The following is a 21,945-nucleotide window of genomic DNA, read 5'->3' as shown; positions in this document are numbered from 1 at the left end:
AAGGGAGGGGAAGAACTGGGGCCACTTTCAAACTACTATAATCACATAAATACAATTTGGAAATGAGATAGAGCTAGTTCCAGAGAAGACTGACTATGGGGATAGAGTCTATCAGGAGTCTCCTTTCTCCTTTCCTCTGTTCAGTTCTAATCTGTAATTTTCAGGCCAGCTATTCCCACGAGGCTGGTTCTAAAGTTGCAAGTGGCTCTGCACTTAAAATGAAACTACATTCTTCCTCAGAAGAAACATCTGAAAAAAATATCTCAGGGTAAACCCCACTAGGGATACATACCTATCTCTGATTCTTTCACTGTAGCCGGGGATAAAGAATACTATAATTAGCCCAGATAATTAACCTAGCCAAGGCATAATAGGATGCCTTTTGCTCCAAGAACCAGCCAAAAAAAGAGAGAAAGGAAAAGGTCCTTTCACTAGAAGGGGAAGGAAGAATGATGGGAAGGCAAAATTAACATGACCCGGTCTTATGCAATTCACTTCCTTCACATTCTCATGCTACACAGCATCACCACAGTCATCCCAAATGACAACTCATCATGCCATTTCCCAGCTTAAATGCTTCAGTGGACCCCCATTGACTGCAGCTAAAATACAACATTTTAGCACACTCTGCAAGACCCTTCTCAATTTTTTACATATGTATCTTTCCAGTCATTTCATCTGACTCTTGCTTTCTTTCGTTAGTCAAAGATATCACATATTTTAGCCATAGTGACCTATTTGCCATTACAGATATGTATCATGCAATTTTGCTAAAGCTTCAGTTAAATTTCCTTCATTATCCTGGCTCAAATCTGTATCTCCTCCATTGTTTCCTACAAGACCATTTCAACAACTGATGATGTATGACCAATTTAAACAATATTTCTGTTCCCAAACTCCTGGTATCCTTTTATGATTCAGTGCCTTTACTTATGCCCCTTATGCAGAATGTCTTCTCCCTTTCTCATTCTCTACTTGAAATCATCTTGATTATTCTTCCTCAAGTCCTAGATCTAGTCTTTTTCCCTCCATGAATTGTGCCTTGTCCATAAATTGCTCACCCATTTTTCACCCATAATGCCTATCATACTACATTTGGACTACTTGTATCTTTGTATATCATCCCCCTGTGCATTCTTTTTTATCTTTTATCTTGCTGTGTTTAGCATGCCTAGACTATACTATCTGTCCTATAATTCCTAATAGTTATTTTGTGCAATATTTAAGTGCATGTAAATGTTAATTGCTGAATTAGAAATGATACTATGTAGGTATAAAAAGTATTTGCAAATCTTCTTGAATAGAAAAAGCACTGTGTTTCAACCCTAAGCATTAGAATAATAAGTGACTGTTTTAAGACATTGTCTTCCCCACAAACCCTTAAAAATACCTGAGTCTAGTGAACTTCAAACCAATACCTTTATACTTCAAATTCCATTATTATATTATTTATGAATTATTCTCTCCTCTTCTACAAAACCTGTACCACTGTCTTTTGAAATTAAATATCTGATGTTTCCTTTTGGTCTAAATCAAATGTATCTTCTTTCTAAGCAGAGCTAGATGCATTTTTACTTTGTTCTGTGAAACCATACATACTAATGATAAATGAGCAGAATCTATAGTTACATTTGTTCTTATCGCTTTTGAAGCAGAAAATCTGGCAGTCTCTTTTCTAAACTTTAACAAGTGGAGATAAACCTTGATAAGAAAAATGTTTCTAGACTGCTATTGCATTCAGCAAGAGTAAACTATTTAAACTAAAAGCAGCTGTTTTATTTTTTTCCAAAAAATAAATCTAAAAGTAAAATTCTCTCTAAAGAATGACATAAAATCAAATGTAGCTTTCAATAATGTGTGAATGCAACAGTACTGCACTTTTATCTGTTATAAAATAGGACTTCTAAAATTAAGTTATTTTGGCTTTAAGACTAAGATGGTTATTGAAGTAATGTTCAGTCTATTCCATTGCTATGATCTAGGAAGTGGTGCTAATGTTGTAGTATAGCCATATAAACACCTATATATTATTTTTGTAACAAGTGATAACTCTATTTGCTATATTTTAGCTTACGTTTCAGCAACTGAGAGTTCCTCCAGAAAGTTCGTAGGGTAGATTCTTGGCTCCTAGTGAAGGAAGTCAGTTCCAGAATGGAGTTCCTGTTCCCTTTTTAGAAGGGACTGAAGAAGAAGAAGGAAAAAAAAAATCCATGGGAAAAAAAATGATAAATACTAGCAGTGAGGAAGTCAGCAAACAAATAAGTATTTCTTAAGAGGGGAAAGGTATATATTTTAAATTTGAAAACTGTTACCTCAATGCAACCCTCCTTACTCCAATTAGCTTGCTGCTCTGACTGTCCTAGTTGAATTGCAGAAACAAATTAACTTTTTTTTTCTTTAATGTTTACCTTTGGGATATTTTAGCCACAATTTTCCCCTGCACAAATATAAAGCTGTTGTATGATAAAATATATTGTATTTTCAAGTTGTTTCATTAGCATAACTTCAAATTTCCTTCCTTCCTTCCTTCCTTTTCAGAGCAGAAGAGAACATTACCACAGTTGGACAAAAATTTCCTTTACAAATAAGTTAATTTAAAATACACAAATGTATTTTAAACCAAATCATAAAGTAAGATCAAATGTTAAATTAATTTGCCTTAAACTAGAGAATATACTCCTGTGAATCTAAGTACAAAGAAATCATTTTTCAGTCCTTTCAGAGAAAGGAAGTCACCGAGTTTGCCTTTAAGTTCCTATAGCACTTTCTGACACTTTCAACTTTGGCTTAAAGACACACATTTTAGCTTTAACTAATTTTAACATTTACTTTAGGACTATAGTTACGTTTTGTTAGGTATTCGAAATGTGAGGATTCTACACATACATGTGAACTACTGACAGCTATTTTGCACTTTTGTGGGTAAATTCAGCTATCTTATATTTATTTGTCAATCTCTTCATAGATAATGTTGTGATTAAAGTTACTGATTTACCTTACCTTTGTCTTTTGGGAGAGTACAATCTTTGAATAAGAGTTTGTGGCTGGTATTGCATTTTAGCTGTGGTCCTAGTTTACATAGACTAGAAATACAAAACAGATGAATTAAAGTAATACTACTAATTCAAAATTATAAAATATTTTCCTTATTACAACCATGCATTTCATAGTTATTATTTTTCCAACTAAAATCATTAGTGACAACACATATTGGTGAAGTGGTAGGGCACTTTGTAATCACTAGGATCAGGTGGACATAATTGGAAGTTGACTGCAAGGCAATTAAGTTTAAGTGGAAAAAAAGCCAGAAGTCTCAAAAAGAAGTCTTTAAAATTTACTGTCACCACTACTGTCTCAGTCCATTCAGTGTTGCTGTAAGAAAATACTTGAGGCTGGGTAACTTATTAAGAAAAGAGGTTTATTTGGCTCATGATTCTGGTGGCTGGAAAGTTTATAATTGGGCAGCTGCATCTGGCGAGGGCCTCATATTGCCCTCATCTACTGTGAGTGCAAAAGGGGAGCAGGTGTGTGCAAACAGATCATATGGCAAGAGAGGGGGCCAGAGAGAGAAACCAAGGAAGCTAGACTCTTTAACAACCCCTTCTCACAGGAACTAATCCTTTCCCATGAGAGTGAGAACTCACCCCCACTGAAGGATATTCATCTATTCATGAGGGATCTGCCCCCTTGACCCAAACACTACCCGCTAGGCCCTACTTCTCAACACTGCCACATTTGGGATCAAATTTCAACTTGAGTTTTAGTGGAGACAAACCACATCCAAACAATAGCAACCCCTGAAGCTGTTAAAGGAATTCTCCTATTTAAATTGTGGCATCAAACAAACACAAAGGACTTAGCTTTTCTTAATAGTCTGCCTACATACTTTGAATTATTTCATTCTCAGTAGGTATTACTTCACAAAATAGAGTCTTGTAAGAAAAACTACAAATAAATAAATGCAGTTTCAGAAGGAGTTTAATACAGTTTATTGAATTGTTCTGCATTTTCTTAGTCCTTCAAACCACTTAGAAGCAGGGCTTAATAAACAAGGTACTTTTTGGTGGCTATCATGTAAAGCCTTGAGTGTAAACCAAAATTAATTTTGGAAACATCACAAGCCAGTTATCATCTTCTGTCTTTCTATGATATACCAAATCCCTAGAACTAGTCCCCCGGGATAGCCAATAAAAGACAATTTATCAAGATGATTCTTCAAACATTATTTCTAATTTTCTTATTCTTTTTCTATCTTCACAAATTTTAATACTTTCTTTTAATCTTTGCTAGTTATCTTTCATGCTGTGTATTCCCATATCAGTTACATTTACATATAACTTCAACTTTTAAATATTGTGAAATAGCCATTTTCTCATGTCTTCAAACTACTTATTGTATAACCACCTGTTAGCCTCCAAGTGAATTGGAAAAATATTTCTTATCTATGAAAAGACAAAAACAAAGCATCACTATTGTTTTGGTAGTAGATTTATATTGAGATTGGGCTTGATGACTGACAGATGCCTAGAAAGGCATCTCAGTATGAATTCTGATTAATCAAAAATGATTGCATTCCATATGTGTTCTTCAACATTTAAACCAGTAGATTTAAATAATAGCGTCAAATCTTTCTTTCAGTTTTACAGCTTACTTCACCATTTCCAGGTACAATTCTTTATATAAGAAATATATATTAGACATTCTATTAGTTATACAGAACTAGTACTTTCCTCATTTTTTGTTTTCATACTGTCCTATCTTCTGTGCTTTAAAGTCCACACTTTTGACATTTTCTGAAAGTACTTAAGAAGATTCAAAGCTTTTTTTCTGTGTATGAACCTAGATCTAACTGCTAGTGCCTGATGCCTACCTATATCAGTTCTGAATTGTCTTTGAGACAAATATCAAATTCTTAAAAATTTAAAGTAGGATGAGGACTGGTCTTCCTCGCTTCTGCTAAATAGAGCATATGACTTTCAATTAAGCGACATAACTGAGTGAAATATACTTAGGGGATCCAATCATGTCTTGACGGCCATACAGCTACTGCCAAAGGCTCTTTCAAGACAGAAGTTTCAGGAAAGCCTAATGGGCATGTTTACTATCTACTTGAATACATTTGCCATGTTCTAGTCCAATATTAATAGCATTAAAAAAAAGTAGCAAAGTGTCCAGACCTTATGTCTTAGTCTTATATATTGATTTAATATCATATCTTCTACATAGAAGGATGTTTTAAGAATTAACCACGTAAACAGTAACTCTGCATCTTCTGGAAATTTTTAGCTAAAACAGGTGTAACTGAACTAATTAAAATAAATTTTTAGATAACTTTGTAATTAAAAATATTTGCCTTCTCAATTGTTAAATGCCATGGAGAGTAAATCTGTAATTGAATTCTGGGGGAAAAAAAGATCTTTACACATGAATTGCCATATTTTTGTCTGTGAATGACAATATTTGTTTGGATTCTTTGATCTTGTCTGGAAATATATAACCATATTTATCACTTAATATTGATAATTAGTTGATCTAGAGATAGGCAACCCATATATATGTGGTCTTAAATTCATTCCTTAACTTCATAATATAATGTTTTCCCCATTTTTTTCACACTTAATTTTATTCTACCAAAAATCTTACTGGAAGAGAGTGGAGTATATGTCATAAGTAAATTAGGATCAGAAAAATTAATGAATTTTGAAAAAATAATAAATGTTGTAATAAAGACCATCATTATTAACAGAAATACTAATTACCAAGTGTGAAATTTTATCCCTGCTTTTGATGGAAGAGAAAGTTTTTGTTCAAGAATTTAAATTTTAATTAGTAATAATTACTGATTTTATGTTGATAATTAATATTGGGCATAGTGGTGAGTAGCTGCCTTTGCCAATATATTCATTAAATAAAGATTTGTGTGGAGGAAAAAAATCAGGGGTGCTTGTTGAGAGCTTAGCTTGTGGTGTAAATGTCACAGAAATGTTTAACAAAAGGAAACCCAAGGTCTCCCATGAACATATGACTGCCACTGAAGAGCTATAGCTCACATATTACAAGTCTGTTTCTTGACATATGGTATATCAGGGAGGAATGTTCCAAAAAATGAAAAGAAAAAAAAAAAAAACCTCGTAACAAACATATGAAAATTGTGTGTATACATAATAATACAAGTATGTCCCATTAAAAGATCCTAGAAAAATATCTGGAGCACATATGGAATAAGACAGCTGTTAGGTTGTTGTAAGTTTAACCAGATTTATAATATCGCTATTATACTTCCCACATGTTAATATCAGGGCCTTCTAGGAGTAATTAATATTAATGACATTAAAAGGAAAACAAGTGTATCTTTCTCAAAAAAAATCAGATTTTGCACATAATTTTCAACATGACTTAAAGTGTAAGAGTATGTAAGTAAGAAATGTTATTTTAGGCAAGACTGAAGAATGCTTAAAATAAATCCAAATGAAAAATGGAAAGTTTTAAAAGATTACTGCTACTTTCACAGTCATGAAAAAAATAGCTAATCATTTATTTTCATAAATTAGATTCCTTAACATTCTATCAAAAAATCTTATAAGTAACATTAAGAAAGCAAAAATGAATTTAAAAATCTGAATGAAGTGCAAAGAGAGTCTGTGAAATGCAAGTTTGAACGCAATTATGCCCTAGAAATCTATTTACAAACATTATGAACTTAGAATATTTACATAGTGTCTCACACTTTCTTTCATCTTTATCTCTGTCTCCTTCTTTCTATCTTCCTCCGCCCCTCTCCCTATCTATCCAGACTTCTGGCTGTCTTCCAAAAGGATTTAAGATACCTTATATGGAAATATATGACATTTCGCAAGATAACCGTCAGGGTCTAACCAGGAAAACAGAAACTGGTCTAAACATGTTTAATAAAGTAAATTTAATAGAAAAGAGTGTTTACACAGGCAATAAACTGAGGAAGAGGGCAAATAGGGGATGATGAGGTACACAGAAATTAGCAACAGCAGGAGACAGCTGCCATCCTACAGCTGAAAGAAGAAGGTGATAAGGCTGTGTTAATGGAACCTAAGGACTGAATCCTCCCATAGGAGCTAGAACCACTGCAGGGCTCTCTGGCAGGAACCAGGGCCTCAGCAGATATGTAGTTGCTGACTGCATCTCTGGAAAGAGAAAGAAAGAGGGAAAAGTACCCTGGCCTTTCCCAGCCTCTGGACTCCAGCCTTCCCAAAGTGCCTCTCATTGGCTGAACACAGTGGAAACCAACTGAGAGGAGCTGGGAAGACAATCATAGATAAGTGTGAGCCCCAGGACTGGCACAATAACATAAATGGGAAGTGGATAACGTGATTCCAAAAGAAAACAATGATAGGAGCACACCAGTGAGCAAAGATGAAGGTACTACACAAAACTCTGCCCCAAAACATACTAGCCTGATAAACAGAGGCAGCTTTTAACAAACAAATCAAAGAGGGAAATGTAGGTAGCCACAAAGTTTGTGTCAAAAATTATTCAGAAGAGACAAAGCTCTTTTTGATGCCAAGACAAGAAATGAATTTGTTCTAAGTGTTCCAATAAAGAAGGCAGTTTAAAGTAATAAGCAATGTACTTCACAAAATCCTTGCAGTGATGATGTTTCACGGGCCTATTTCTGACAATATTTTAAAACCTAAACTAATACCGTTGCATAAGAAACAATTCAGGAAACTTGTGCACCTAATGATGTACAATAGGCTGTTCTCTGATCATGCAGACTCTAGATTAACTCAGGGAAAAATTTAGAAAAGGGGATGGGATACAGATTCATCAACTACTGTTTAATAATGATGAATTTTGATAGACATTAAAAGGAACACAAGATGAAACTTCTAGGTACCTATATAGAGCTATTTAGTTTTTTGTTTTGTTTTGTTTTTTAATTTTAGAGATAGAGTCTTGCTCTGTTGCCTAGGCTGGAGTGCAATGGCACAACCGTAGCTCACTGTAACCTTGAACTCCTGGGCTCAAACAATCCTCCCACCTCAGCCTCCTGAGTAGCTGGGAAACAGGTGTGCACCACGATGTTTGGCTATTTATTTTTTTATTAAAACTTTTTTATTTTTAGAGATGAGGTCTTGCTTTGTTGCCCAGGCTGGCCTTAAACTCCTGGCCTCAAGCAATCCTTCTGCCTCTGCCTCCCAACATACTGAGGATATGGGTGTGAACCACCACACTTAGAGCCATCTAATTTTATTGGTCAAGTCTGAAGACTTTGTGTTTTGACAAGCAGCTGATCTGGGTTAAGGGTCAATCACCGTTGTGGCCAACCTGTATCGATGCCAATGGGGATGGCACCAGGTTCAAGAAGCCAAAGAGACCCAGAGTCAGCAAATGAGGGGTTTTAGAGGGGCTTACATCTCAAAGAGACTCCACTGGTGGCAGACTGGAAAGGAGAATCGCATGGCTTGATGGTGGCAGGCAGGGGCAGAAGAATTGCAACTGCTTGCAAAAAGCACGCAGTTTTTATATAGCATTTTCACTTAGCACCTTCTCCCTAACAACTTCCACGTGGCACCATTCAGTCAACCCAAAACTTGTGGCCTTGATTCTCCATATGGCCCAGCCCGTGCTCCATGGTACAGGACAGAGGCTCAGATGCTCCTCATAGAGCAAATCTCTGGGTTGGTCATTCCTGGATTCCCTAGCTCAGAACTGGGAACACACATTCAGGTGTGTTTGCCATACAGGGTCATTCTAAGGGTATGCTTAAGTTATCACTGTCTGGTGCATTTGCCATACAATCACATGTGATTATGATACAGGAGAACATGATGGCCCAATGGGGGTAAATAGCAGCATATGATTAATGGTTTATCTAGATTACTATGCTCAGAATGCAAAGGGATTAACAGTTAATAGCAATTTCATTCCTGTTTCAAATGGCAAAATTATCCAGAGTTAGTGTGAAATGTAATTTATTCAATAATACTTTTTTCTTTATTAGTTACCTGATATATGCCTTCTTTCTTCTCCATAACATTTTTGTTTCCTTTTATTCAAAGATTTTAATTAGTATGTGAATCAGGGTTACAAAACTCTCTAGTGTCTAATATAAACAATTGTTTTCGTAATGTTATTGCTGATAGTTACACATCATAGATAAAGTCTGCTAGGAAACTAGCATGAGCCACACAATTTTTTTAGAAAGTCCTGAAACTTAAAGGTCAATACCCAAGTATATCTAATCTTCTTTTCGAAAGTTCTTTGCAAACTAAGTGAATATTATTGTATACTATTTAATATTATTTGCCAAGTCTCACAAAATGTATTTTGTTTTTAGTGTTACATATCAAACTTTTATATTTTACCTTTTGCTAAGAATATAAAAACACCTGATGAAACATATATGGACATTTTACCTAGTGTGGCTACATCTTTACTTCCTAGAGAATTACAATTCATTTTCTTTTGCACTTAGTAACTAAGAACTAAGTTCAGTAACTAAGAGTTCAGTAACTAAGTAGACCAAATTATAGTTATTGAAAAATACAAGAATTATCTTAAAATATTATTACTTATTATTGAAAATAGTAATATTTTTAGTAAGGGAAAGCAAAAGTTCAGGAATTTATAATATTAAACAAAAGCAGCTTTGAAGTCTCTTTTACTACCCCTAAGTTACTTTGCCCACATGCTTTTCAAATAAGAGGCAGCAGAGGGCTATGGTTGAGAACTTGGACTCAGAAGCCCATGTGCTAGCGCTGAATCCAACTTGCAGCCACTTACTAGCTCTACAATCTTGAGAAATTTACTTTTTTTTCTGGCTTCTGTTTCCTTATCTGTAAAATACGGTCTATATTAGAACCATCCTCGTTAGATTTTTGCAATGTATTAAATGAATTAATATTTGTAAATTGCTTAAAATGGGCTGACACAGGCTAAGTCTCATAAAAGAGCTGTTAAATTAATACAGAAAACCTTAGTATGTCTGTTTTTAAAAATGTACAGTAAATTGTCTGCTATGTTTAATATATAAGCTTATAGTACTTTGTAGAATTCTGACCAGGATAAAGTGCCTCAAGGCATATCTTACAATTGACTATGTTTTCATATTTATAGTAAACTGACCATTGACCTACAGGTAGTTCCCCATGAGCAATGCCATTTTTCACAGCAGATTAAAACAAAATTTAATTGAATTTTTTTTACCATGTTTTAATTATGTACACTCCTACTACTGAATTCTGTTTGAGCCCAGAGAGAGAGAAAGTCAGAGGAGATGTCTGAAGCTCTCTGTATTCATGGAGTTAAAAAATGTGTCTTAAGGCAAAAACACAGCTGAAGTATGGTTATGGCTAAATGCTTCAAATATAAACTCGCTGTTAAGTACTTAAATAAGTCCTACATCTGGCTGGCCATTTATTATTCATTCTACTCCCTAATGGGAATATTACAAATGACAAAGCATATGTTGATTTGGGATCATTTCAATAAAAACTCTTTCTTATGCAAATATTTATCTTAAATTCCTTAAAGCTACTAATAAAAGCAAAAATTTAAACAGAGAATAGATTATTGCTAACACTGGGAATGCAGGGAGGCCTAGATGTTCGAGGATAAACTGAGGTCCTATTGTGTAATACCTAAGAAAGTCGCTTATATTATTTAAATGAAAAAGTATGCATGTGTTATTTTAGAAGAAAAAAAGATGTACAAAGAAAGATTCAAACAAAAGTTAAATATTTCTATAGTAGCCAGAGTAGAGCTGCAATTTTTACTGTATTAAATGCTTTCCACGTATTAGTTTATTAGATCTCAGCAACAGCCCTGAAGCCGGTAGTATATTTCTTAATTCATAGAAAAGAAAATTGAGGCTAAGGAATATTAAGCACCTAAAATGATATTACTTTGTTTTATATGTTTGTTTGATTATTATAGATCTCCCTCACTAGAATGCAATCCCCAGAAAAGATATCTTGCTCTGTCTTTTCACAACCATACCCTCAGTGCCGGGAATACCTTCCTGCACTTAAGTTTTTATTGAAGGAATGAATATCAAATTCATAAGCTTGCTAAGATCCCAGAACTAGTAATTTGTTAGATCAAGTGCAAATTGAAATCACCCTAGATGATTTTCCTTTTTTTTTTTCTTTTGGTGACAATATATTAAAAAGTGAAGAAACATAGAAAAACATTTCAGAAATGCCCAGCCAGGTTCTGAAAATTGAAATGTCTTTGATCAAGTTCTGTGCAAAGCAACAATGATGTCCCGACCCTAATAATCATTTTCTCAGAAACAGCTGCATGGCCTTGGGCAAGGCACTTAATCTCATATAATAGAGTAAAACTTCATATTGGTATGATGAGGATTAAATAGTTAGGATTTGTAAAGCCTGTAGAACAGCATCTGGCATTTAGTAAGTTAATGTTATTAAATCTTACCCATTATTGTCAGTATTGTTTTATTACGTTCATTTTCAATCAGCTGTTTTTCTTTTTCCAAATTTGTGTTAGGGAAACACTGAAAAATCAATATGTACGGTAGGTAATCTTTTAGAAGATAATACATATATAGTTTATTCAAATATATCAAAAGGAGGCAGGTAAGAAAACAAAGGAATTAATTTTGGAGCTCTTTTATTTCAGAGCAGGAAAAATATCCAGTCCTCCCCAAACAGTACCTATTTCTGCCCAATTCTTGATCATATTTTCATATAACTCAAATCATCAGAAAGCAAAAAAAATCACAATACATATCACTAGTATTTCTCACCTTGAGGCAACCTTTATTGATAAATTATGATGTAATCACTAAGAGTCATCGATTCTATGTATGTGTGTATGTATGCGTGCATGTATCTGTGTATCGTAGGGGCAGAGGGAAAGCTCCCCTCTGTCCTCTCTGAACATTCACTAGACTGAACTTGCAATAGAGTAATAGGAGAAAAATCCATACATATTTATTTACATGCACGTGGATGTGGGAGTCCTACAAATACGAGACTCAAAGAAGGGCCAGATGTTTGAAGGTTAGATACTCTCTTATAGGGAAGTGGGGAAATGGGGGATGTAGGTAATTATGCGTAGCAACAAACAACTTTCAGGGAAAATGCAAGAGCCCAAGGAACAGACAGTGGACTTGGAAAAGAGTTTCTCTGAGCTCTGGGGGAGGTGGAGGCAAATTTAGAGAAGTTGAAGGGTGGAACTTCACCATGAACAAAGGTTCTTATTACGCAGACAGCCCCCTAGATAATCTCTCAGTGCTGCCCTCAGGAGAACAGATGAAAAGTCTGTCTGAGCAGGGCGACTTTTAATCTTTTCTCTTAGTCTTTTCTCCAGTGGTTAATCTTTCCTGGTTATTTAATGAGATCCCTGGGGGAAGGGGTTGTATTAAAGACAGTTTCATTTCTTTTGGAGAGAAGTTTCTTTAGTTGAATAAGGAAATTAAGAGACTTCCTCCCGTTGCTAATGGTGGGGAGAATAGGGGGGAGGAACAAAAGAAGTTTAGAAAGTTATGGGTTCTGAAGCATCTTTTAAGTCATTCCAGTTTTTTAAAACTCAAGGTGCCTAGCATGCCGGAGTACCATAATTTGGGGTATCATTCTCTATGCCCCAACTCTATCTATCTTCTTTATAAGAACATTATGTGTACAGTTATGTAAACCTACAAATACATATGTATGCATTCACCAATTCTTGGATATTATTCTTCCAACTAATGTCCTATTTTTGGTTATGAATGTTTTACCAAACTTTCTCTATCACAAACATGTAAGAGTAATAATTATTTTTGGCCAATTTTTCTGGAGCTCTATGTGGCTGATTTTGGCCAAGTTTCCAGTTGCTAGTTCAAAGGGTAGAAATGACTAAAGAACAAAATGAAATTCTTTTTACCATGTAAACTTCAAATAAATTAAAATCTAAAACTGATCTCCCTAATTTTTTATTCTACTCAGCCTCAGCCAAAGACATTCTCAATGGCTGGTTAGATGTGAGCACCTTTAAGCATCTGTATTTTGGGCTTTTCTCCATGAAAATCACTGTAATTTTTCCAGTACTTCAGAGTCCTAATTAGTCTCATGTGTTGCCTTTTAAAGGAGCTCAAAAGTTAGTGGGATAGATAAGATGATCGTAGCACCAGCTCCTCATCCATCAAATTAATAAATAAATAAAATTTAAAAGTCCACCCTTTTAAATAAAAAGCCCCTAAAGCATTTACTCCTGGCAAATCTGGGACTCCAGAGTGATTCCAAAACATAAAATAGAGAATCAGTAGTATCTCAATAAGAGCAGAAGGGAAAGGTTTTTTTTTTTTTTTGCCTCAATAGCTACCATTTTGTCTGCACTAGTTAGTTGTCCAGAGTTCATCACTTGAGACTTAAGATGTAATTAGAATACCCTCCTTTCAAATGATAAATTTGACATTGTGCATTTTTCTGTTGCAGGAAACATCATTGATTCATCCTTTCTCTTTTCTCAGAGAATGGCATTTTGGCCCAGCCTACACAAGGTGTACCCATCCAGCACATGTGAACTCTCCTACTTAATATGCCCCTTAATGTGCTGAGTACAGCCTCTAGGGACGACATGTCTTCCACAGTCTTTCAGCTGATATATCTGCCTCTTAGGCAAGGTTTTTCTTTCATTTCCACATTTGTTTCAGATATGTATTTGTCCTCAGGAGATTTCTGAACAGAGGCTGCCACTGATGCTTGGAACTTGGGCCCCATGGCTCAAGTCAGAACGAGGAGTAAGCTCTGAATGTCTGAAGATGTCAAGTCAGTATGTCAGATCAGAATGTGTCCTTCCCGAGGCACTGTATTTCTTCAGGATTTTTTTCTTCTACACTGACATTTTATTTATTTATTTATTTTTGCATTTCTTAATTTTATTTATTTTAATTGACAGATACAATTGTATTTATCATGTACAAAAAATTCTAAGACAGTGGATGTTAAGTTTTCCCACTACAAAAATGATAACTTTGTGAGTTAATACATGTTAATTAGCTAGATTTAGTCATTCCACAGTGTCTGTGTATTTCTTCAGCTTTTGAAAGGCTTATGTGGCTTCATAGCCTTGAGCAACATTCTGTCTGCTCCATCATTTTTTCGCAGTAGTGGGTCATGCCTCTCATACCTCTAATATTTCATTCCTCTATATTCTTTAACTCTTTTAGGGAGGCCCAGCTGAATCAATGTGTCCATTGCTTTCTTTACACTTTTTTTTTTTTTTTTTAAATACAGGGTCTCACTATGTTGCCCAGGATAGTCACAAACTCCTGGGCTCAAGTGATTCTTTTGCCTCAGCCTCCCAAAGTGCCAGGATTACATGCATGAGCCACTGTGCCTGGCCTGTTTCCTTTACATCTTTAGTACATTTGGGCTCAAATTGATTTCTGGGACAGAATGTTTTCTTTCATTAATTTTCCTTTTCTCTCCTAATAGCTGGCCCGCACCCACCTTCATAATCTTCTTAATGCTGTCTCGTGTTGTGTTCCATAGCGTAAAGAGTGAAAATTAGTTCAGGGACTTCCCAAATGAACCCCTGTTCAGGTAATCTTCTCCATCTTCAAGTTTCTAATTTGGAAGAATCACATTCAGGATGTATCCCGCATAAGAACGTCACCAAGGCCTGGAGTCAAACTATCCCTGTCTTTCCCTCTCTAACCTCTGTACTTCAACATGTTTCTCTTTTCTAGACCTTTCCTTGGAAACTAATTTCACACATATTTTAGGCACAGGCAATGTCTGTAGCTACGTGTATATTTATCATATCAACTTGAAAATCATCTTGTAATATTTTGAATTTTTTACTTAAATATTTTTGGTCTTCCCATTTCAAGTCAGTGAATTATTTTATCTAATCAAGTGGCCTAGATATGTCTATAAAGAGATAGTTTCCTAATTGCTCTAACTATGCAGATTTCTTTTCAACTTTTATTTTAGATTGAGGGCATACATGTACAGGTTTGTTAGAAGGGTATATCGTGCAATGTTGTCATTTTGGGTATGATTGAATCTGTCAGTCAGGTAGTAAGCATAGTACCCAATAGGTAATTTTTCAGCAGTGCCCCCCACTGTTCCCATCTTCATGTCTATATGTATCCAATGTTCGGTTTCCACTTACAAGTGACAACATGGGGTATTTACAGTAAATTTCATGTACAGATGAGAAAAATGTATATTCTATGGTTGTTGGGTGGAGTATTCTATTAGGTCCAATTGGTCAAGTGTCAAATTTAAGTTCAAAATTTCTTTGTCAGTTTTCCTTTTCAATGATCTGCCTAACACTGTCAGTGGGCTATTACAGTCCCCCACTATTACGCTGTGGCTTTTCCTAGATCTAGAATTACTTGTTTTTGAATGTGAGTACTCCGATATTGGTTGCATACATAGTTAAGTCTTCTTGTTGAATTGAACCATTTATCATTATGTAATGCCCTTCTTTGTCCTTTTTTAACTGTTGTTGGTTTAAAGTCTGTTTTATTTGATATAAGAATAGCGACTCCTGCTCTTTTTTTGTTTTCTGTTTGTGTGATAGATCTTTCTCCAATCCTTTACTTTGGCTGGGTCTTTTTAATCCAACTTGGCCACTTTGTGTCTTTTAAGTGAGTCATTTAGATCATTTACATTCAAACTTAATATTGGCATGTGGGGTTTTGATCCTGTTGTGATGTTGTTAGTTGCTTAGTAGTACCAATTGTATAGTTGCTTTATAGGGTCTGTGTCTATGTATTTAAGGGTGTTTTTGTGGTAGCAACTATTGTTCTTTTGTTTTCATGTTAATAACTCCCTTAAGGGTCTCTTATAAAACTGGTCTAGTGGTAACAAGTTCCCTTAGCAATTTCTTATCTGGAAAAGATTTTATTTCTCCTTTAGCTTAGTTTGGCAGGATATGAAATTCTTGGTTGTAATTTCTTTTCTTTAAGAATGCTGAAAATAGGCTCCCTAATCTCTTCTGGCTTTTATGGTTTCTGCTAAGAAACCTGCTGTTAGCCTGATGGGGTTCCCTTTTCTCTTGCTGCCTTTAAGGTTTTTTTCTTTCACATCGACTTTGGATAGTCTGGTGACTACACATGTTGGTGATATTCATCTTATATAATGTCTCACAAATGTCCTCGGGATGTCTACCTCTCTAGCAAGATTAGAAAAATTTTCTTGAATTATTCCCTGAAATATGTTTTCCAGGTTTTAAACTTCTTCTCCTTCTCAGGAATGCCAATAATTCATAGTTTTGGTTGCTTCATATAATTCCATATTTCTCAAATAATTTGTTTGTTTTTCAAAATTTGGATTTGTTTTTCTCTAATTGGGTAAGTTTGGAAGACTTCAAGCTCTGAAATTCTTTCTTCTGAAACGTCTAGTCTTTTGATAAAGCTTTCAATTTTATTTTAAAATTCCTTAAGTGAGTTTTTCAATTTCAGATATTCTGACTGATTTTTTTAAAAGATATCTATCTCTTCCTTCATTTCCTGAATTGCTTTATTAGTTTCTTTGTGTTGATTTAAAACCTTGTCTTGGCTTTCATTGAGCTTCCTTGCAATCCATGCTTTGAATTCTTTACCTGTCACTTCTGAGTTTTCATTGTGGTTAAGGTCCACTGCTGGAATGCTGGTGTGATTCTTTGGTAGTTTCACAACATGCAGATTTTTCACAGTGCCAGAGTGTTTTTGCTGATTCCTTCTTCTCTGGAGTGGCTGGCACTTCTAATTTTTGTAATTATTTTAGTAGAGATAGGATTTTTTTTCCTTCCTTATATATTTATTTCTCTTTCCCATCTTTTCCTCCCTAGAGAGTGTGACTATAGAGTATGTCGCCCCTTCTGTTGGCAGGTTTTATATTGGGCTGTGTGGTTTAACCTACAGGCCAGTAGAAGGCACTTTTGGGCAAGAGCCAGCTGTGGATTTTTGTTTACTGTGAGGTGCTCTCTGTTGTTTCAGGTGATGGGTTAGACAGTGGAGTACCCAGTGCCCTGAGCTTCCTATTCTGTGTGGGTGGGAAGACACAGCTGGGTAGAGCTAGAGTCCCTGAACTGCCCTCGAATACCCCAATGGTGAGCACAAGCACCAACCCTGATGAGGGTGGCTGCAGGCAGCTCCTGTCGAAAGACATCGAGGTGTCTGTGGGAGGGTGAGGGATTTGCACTGGCTCCCCATCCTAGAGAAGCAGGAATGTGATCTGTTTCCCTATCTCACCCCTGTTCCAGGGATGGTGACTTCTAGTTCAGGCATACACTGTAGGCTATCTCCAGACCATGACGTGCTTGAGAGCCATGGGAAATACCTGGTTTTGTGACTCTCTGTGATATTGCTTTCAGGTCAGAACCTTGTCACTGAGCCCAATACAGATAGATTTATTGCTCACCTAGGGAGTGTGACTGTAGAGTATGTTCAGAAGGGTCTTTTGGCTTTGCTTCTCACCTGTTCTCCAACATTATAGCATTGCCACTTTGTTTAAAAGTGGGAGCTCCACTGTTAGGTCTGTGTGGGTGGGTGTTGGTTGTGATGTTGTCAGCTGGTTGGGTCAGCCCCACCTCAGGCTCTGCCCTTAAGGAAGTGGTCAGCTAATAGCTGAGTTGGAATGGGGTAGGTAGTTCCTCAGTTCTTTGGCCCCTAGATGGCCCACTGGATAGTGTGTATGAGTCATGAAGGCGCTGGAACAGGGTTGGGCTAGCCCAGTGTTCAGGTGCTGGCTGTGATGAGTGAAATGGGTTGGTCCCTGGATCACCATCCGAACTCTCAGGCAGGAGCAGGCAGAACACTTAGGTGGTGAGAGCCTGAGGGAATGTCACAGGCCTCTGGGGACTGGAGTTTCAGAAGTGTTATGGGCTGCAGCTGGAATATTCATGTAGGGGGAGGGTAGCTCTTCTGTGGAGAGGGCAGCACCCCTCAGCTGGGGCAATGGAGACTGGTGGCTGTGGGGAAGGTGGCCCACTGGCATTTCCCTCCCACACAAGTGATGCTGGATTTTGCTATTGAGAGCACACAAAGCTGCCAAGCCTCCTCACTTCCATGCTAATCTAACGTGGCTTGCACTAGCTGTTTCTAGTCAGCCATCTTGAACCAGATCCTCTTCCTCTTTCAATAAGGGCATGAATCCATCATGGGAACTCTACCCTCATGACTTAATCACCTCCCAGAGCCTTACCTCTTAATACCATCTCACGGGGTGGGGGGTTGTGGGGGGTGTTAGGGTTTCAAGGTACAAATTGACTATGAAGACTTAAGAGACACTTCCCCATCATTTCCTGTGTCTTAGTTTTGGGGGAAAATAATCCAATCTATTCTTTCAGAAAAATAAAATCTGGTAACAGCTAATACATGTTTCTCCTTTATCTCTTTAAGAGAGTAATTAGCTCTAGAAACATCGACTATTCTCTTCAGCATATCATTTTCTAGTTTATATTTCTAGTGTAAACTTTGGATGTCAATCTTTTTTTCAAATTGCATTTCTCTTTTCTTCCAGTTGAATTAGCCTGTCTTCTTTTAATTATTTTTCTTTTCCTTTTATTAGCTACTCCTTTCATATCAAAGCAAGTTTTATAAGCCACCATATTTTCTATTTGAAGAAACCTGATTGTTAGGTGCAGATACAGATTTGTATCAAAGCCCTGTTTATTTACCTTCTTATACATGGGTTTGGATAATTTCTCTCAGTCTTATTTTAATCCAAGAAGATGTATATTTCTTTTGTAAATATACATAGTTTTTATTAATGAGTAAGTGAAAGTCCTATACATTAGGCCTATATTCCTTTCAGTTGCTCATTAATAAAAACTACTATGTTTCTCTGGGTGAAGCTGACATTTAGGTGAAGCAGAATATTATCAGTATTTATGTAATTAACCAAGTTAGGGCCAACTTGAGACCACAGAGTAGAGGGTGAGTTTTAAAATCCTATGGACAATTCACATGAATCTTGGGGTTTATTTCCTGAACTTCTTTTTAGATTAAAACACAGAATGGAATTTAGAGCAGCTAGTCTTGCACTCCCTGCCAAATCTGGCACTAGTAATTGAAACTAGAACTCCCTCCACACAATGCCCTATAGCTCATGTGGGAATTGGGTACATTCTAAAATCCTGGCCTGCACAATCCAGAGATTTGGCATTGCTTTTTATTTTAGACACAATGTTGGCTGCAGTGGGGGTAGAATGGTTCCAGGGGATGCCACATTTTGTTCCCTCTCATAATAGTCCTTACTTCATTGGCCAGGAAACAAATATGGATGTTCTACTGATTATTAAGCATATCTATTACTAGTATACATTCTGGGTAATTAATTTTTCTCAGCAATGTATATATCTGTATGGCTATATACATATGTAGCTGAGTATATAACATATACTCAGTTATATGAGTAGATATACTGGATTCAGTTAGTGAATATTTGTTTTGAACTTCTGTGACAATGCTTATGAGAAAGTTTAACCTATAATTCTCCTTTCCTGTGATGTTTTTGTCAGTCTTCTGTATCACTCTTATGCTGATTTTATAAAGCATGTTGGAAAGTTTTTCCATTTTTTTTACATTTCTTGAAAAAGTTTATGCGATATTTATGTTATTTATTTTTTAATATTTGCAAAAGTTCAAAGAAGGCATCTAGGTCTGGAATTTTCTTTGTGAAAAAGTTTTTATTTAAGGTATACAATTTGGAATTCATATTTCTTGTATAATTTGGGTAAATTTTGCTTTTTTTTGTCTCAGTAATTTATTCATTGAATTTATATTTTTAAAATTTGTTAGCATGATATTGTTTATGAAATCTTTATTATATTCTAAATATCAAAAGGAGCTTAGAGATATCCACATTCCTATTCCTGATACTAACTTGTGCCTTCTCTCTTTTTTAAATTTAGCCTCCCTAGAAATGACCAATTTTTTCATCTTTTGGAAAGGTAAATCTGGCTAGTTGCTTTTGCTATTACATATTTATTTGTTATTTAAATAAATACTTTTTATAGTTTGTTATTTCTTTCTTTCCACATTCTTTAAGTTAATTGGTTGATCTATTGCTGATTGATTAGTGGAATCTGACAATTTTGCCTTTTCATTGGACTACTTACTATTTACTTACAATTCAATTTCAAGTTACCCTTATAACTACTATTTCACTTTTTTGTCTCCTGGCATCACTTTTTTCTTGTATTTGTTTTCCTTCTTTCATTCTTCATCTTGGGTTAAGAATTGGTTTTCTTTTAATTATCCTGTGTCTTTCCCCTGTGATAGCTATTCTTAATACATTCTTTAAATTTTTGTTTTGATTGTTACCTTGGAGATAGCAATATATATCCCTGACTTACTACAGTGTGATGTCTATTGGTATTTTCATCATTTCCAAGACAATGCAAGGGCTCTAGATCACTTAGTTTTCCTTTTACTTCTCTCTTGTCTTTTTTGTTTTTTGTCAGATATATTGACATTCAGATTATTATTGTTTTACATAATTAATATTCAGATTTGCCTATTTTCCCTTTTTTTATGTTTGTCATTCGTACCTGAATTTGTATGCTTCCATCACAGGTGATTTTTCCTCTACCTGAAGAGCTTAAAATAAGTTTCCTTGTTTTATTATTTTTATTTTTTGTAGAGATGTGGTCTCACTATGTTGCCCAGGCTGGTCTTGAACTCTGGACTTCTAGCAATCCTCCTGCTTTGGCCTCCTAAATTACTGGGATTATCGAAATTAGCCACGGCACCTAGCCTGTATTTTTTTTTCTTTCTTTCATTGTTTTTTGTTTTCTTTTTGCCTGAAAACATTTTTACTTTGCCTTCATTTTTTTCTTTAATCACAGGGTATTTTTTAAAATAACACAGGGTATGAGATGGATAACTGTTTTTGAACATATAAAAACATCTGCAATAAATTTTTACATGCATTTAAAAAAAAGTTACAAATGGCCTATTTTAAAGCTGATCTGCCCACATTGCAGGGACATTTTCTGGAACATTTCCATGAAACCCCAAATACCTAACTGCTAAATATAAAAGATAAATCCTATTGCTAAAATACTTGCTATTCCCCCACTGGAAGTAAACGATCATTCCATTCCCCTACTGAAGTCAAAAGAGAAGATTTATATGCAGGTATGAACAACAAAGTTGTTCTTCATATTATATATGGATATTTCATCATATTCCTTTGAAATAGCATTGTATAATATTAGAGATTATAAAAAATAGTTTTTACATTGTGTGATGATATTTGCTCAAAAAAGCTCAAATGAAAACTGCAACCTATTTCGTGACAGAGTTAATCAAAAATAAACTTAGCCTTCCTTTTTACTCTCTTCAAACATACACAAAAAACATACTCACTGCTGAAGCTGAAGGTTTCTGACTCACTTTCTATAGTTGAACTCCTGACTTAAATTCATCCTAATAGACTCTATCAACATGTGTTTCAGGCTGAGGACTTCCATCAAGGAAAACCTTGATTAAGAAGGCATTTCACATTTTCCAAGTCTTATCTCAAAACAAAATAACCCAGAAGCATCTCCCTCTAGTAGGTTTTCCTGAATCTTCTATAACATCTTAAAATAGCACTTGTTATACCAGCAATTAAACATATACTTTAGGTTAAAAATGTTCCCCAGTCTAGTTTCTAGTGGAAAAATTTAACACAAAATTTTGTATATTCTGTTTAGTAATTGGTCCAAATAGCAGTGGGTGTAATGCCATATTTTTCTTTTAAAATTATACTTTAGGTAGGATCTTGTGATCAAACCATGGCGGATGGCATAGAATTTCCACCTTGATAACAGAGGCATGTAGAGTTTCATTTTGAAGATCCAAAGCTAGGCCCAGCATGGTGGCTCATGCCTGTAATCCTAGTACTTTGGGAGGCCAAGGCAGGCAGATCACTTGAGGTCCGGAGTTCGAGGCCAACATGGCAAAACGCTGTCTCTACTAAAAATACAAAAAAAAAAAAAAAAAAAAAAAAAAAAAGCTGGGCGTGGTGGTGGGCG

General features: G+C 35.5%; 1 long non-coding RNA gene across 1 annotated transcript in view, besides 1 other annotated feature; it reads left to right on the top strand.

Annotated features, from left to right (window-relative positions):
* Window positions 1–21,945, top strand: part of LOC100128317 (uncharacterized) — a 115,021-nt gene that overhangs the window by 14,622 nt on the left and 78,454 nt on the right. The window lies entirely within an intron of this gene.
* Window positions 3,491–4,024: an enhancer, noted in NCBI's record as "OCT4-NANOG hESC enhancer chr7:81302077-81302610 (GRCh37/hg19 assembly coordinates)". NCBI's record gives its function as "activates a minimal SCP1, AML or CMV promoter by ChIP-STARR-seq in naive H9 embryonic stem cells {active_cell/tissue: H9 hESC(naive)}" and the evidence as "EXISTENCE:reporter gene assay evidence [ECO:0000049][PMID:30033119]".

This window comes from Homo sapiens, chromosome 7, assembly GCF_000001405.40.
Source record: "Homo sapiens chromosome 7, GRCh38.p14 Primary Assembly".
Classification (NCBI taxonomy): Eukaryota; Metazoa; Chordata; class Mammalia; order Primates; family Hominidae; genus Homo; species Homo sapiens.
Note: the sequence above shows the minus strand (reverse complement) of the source record. Positions and strands in the feature narration are given on the sequence as shown.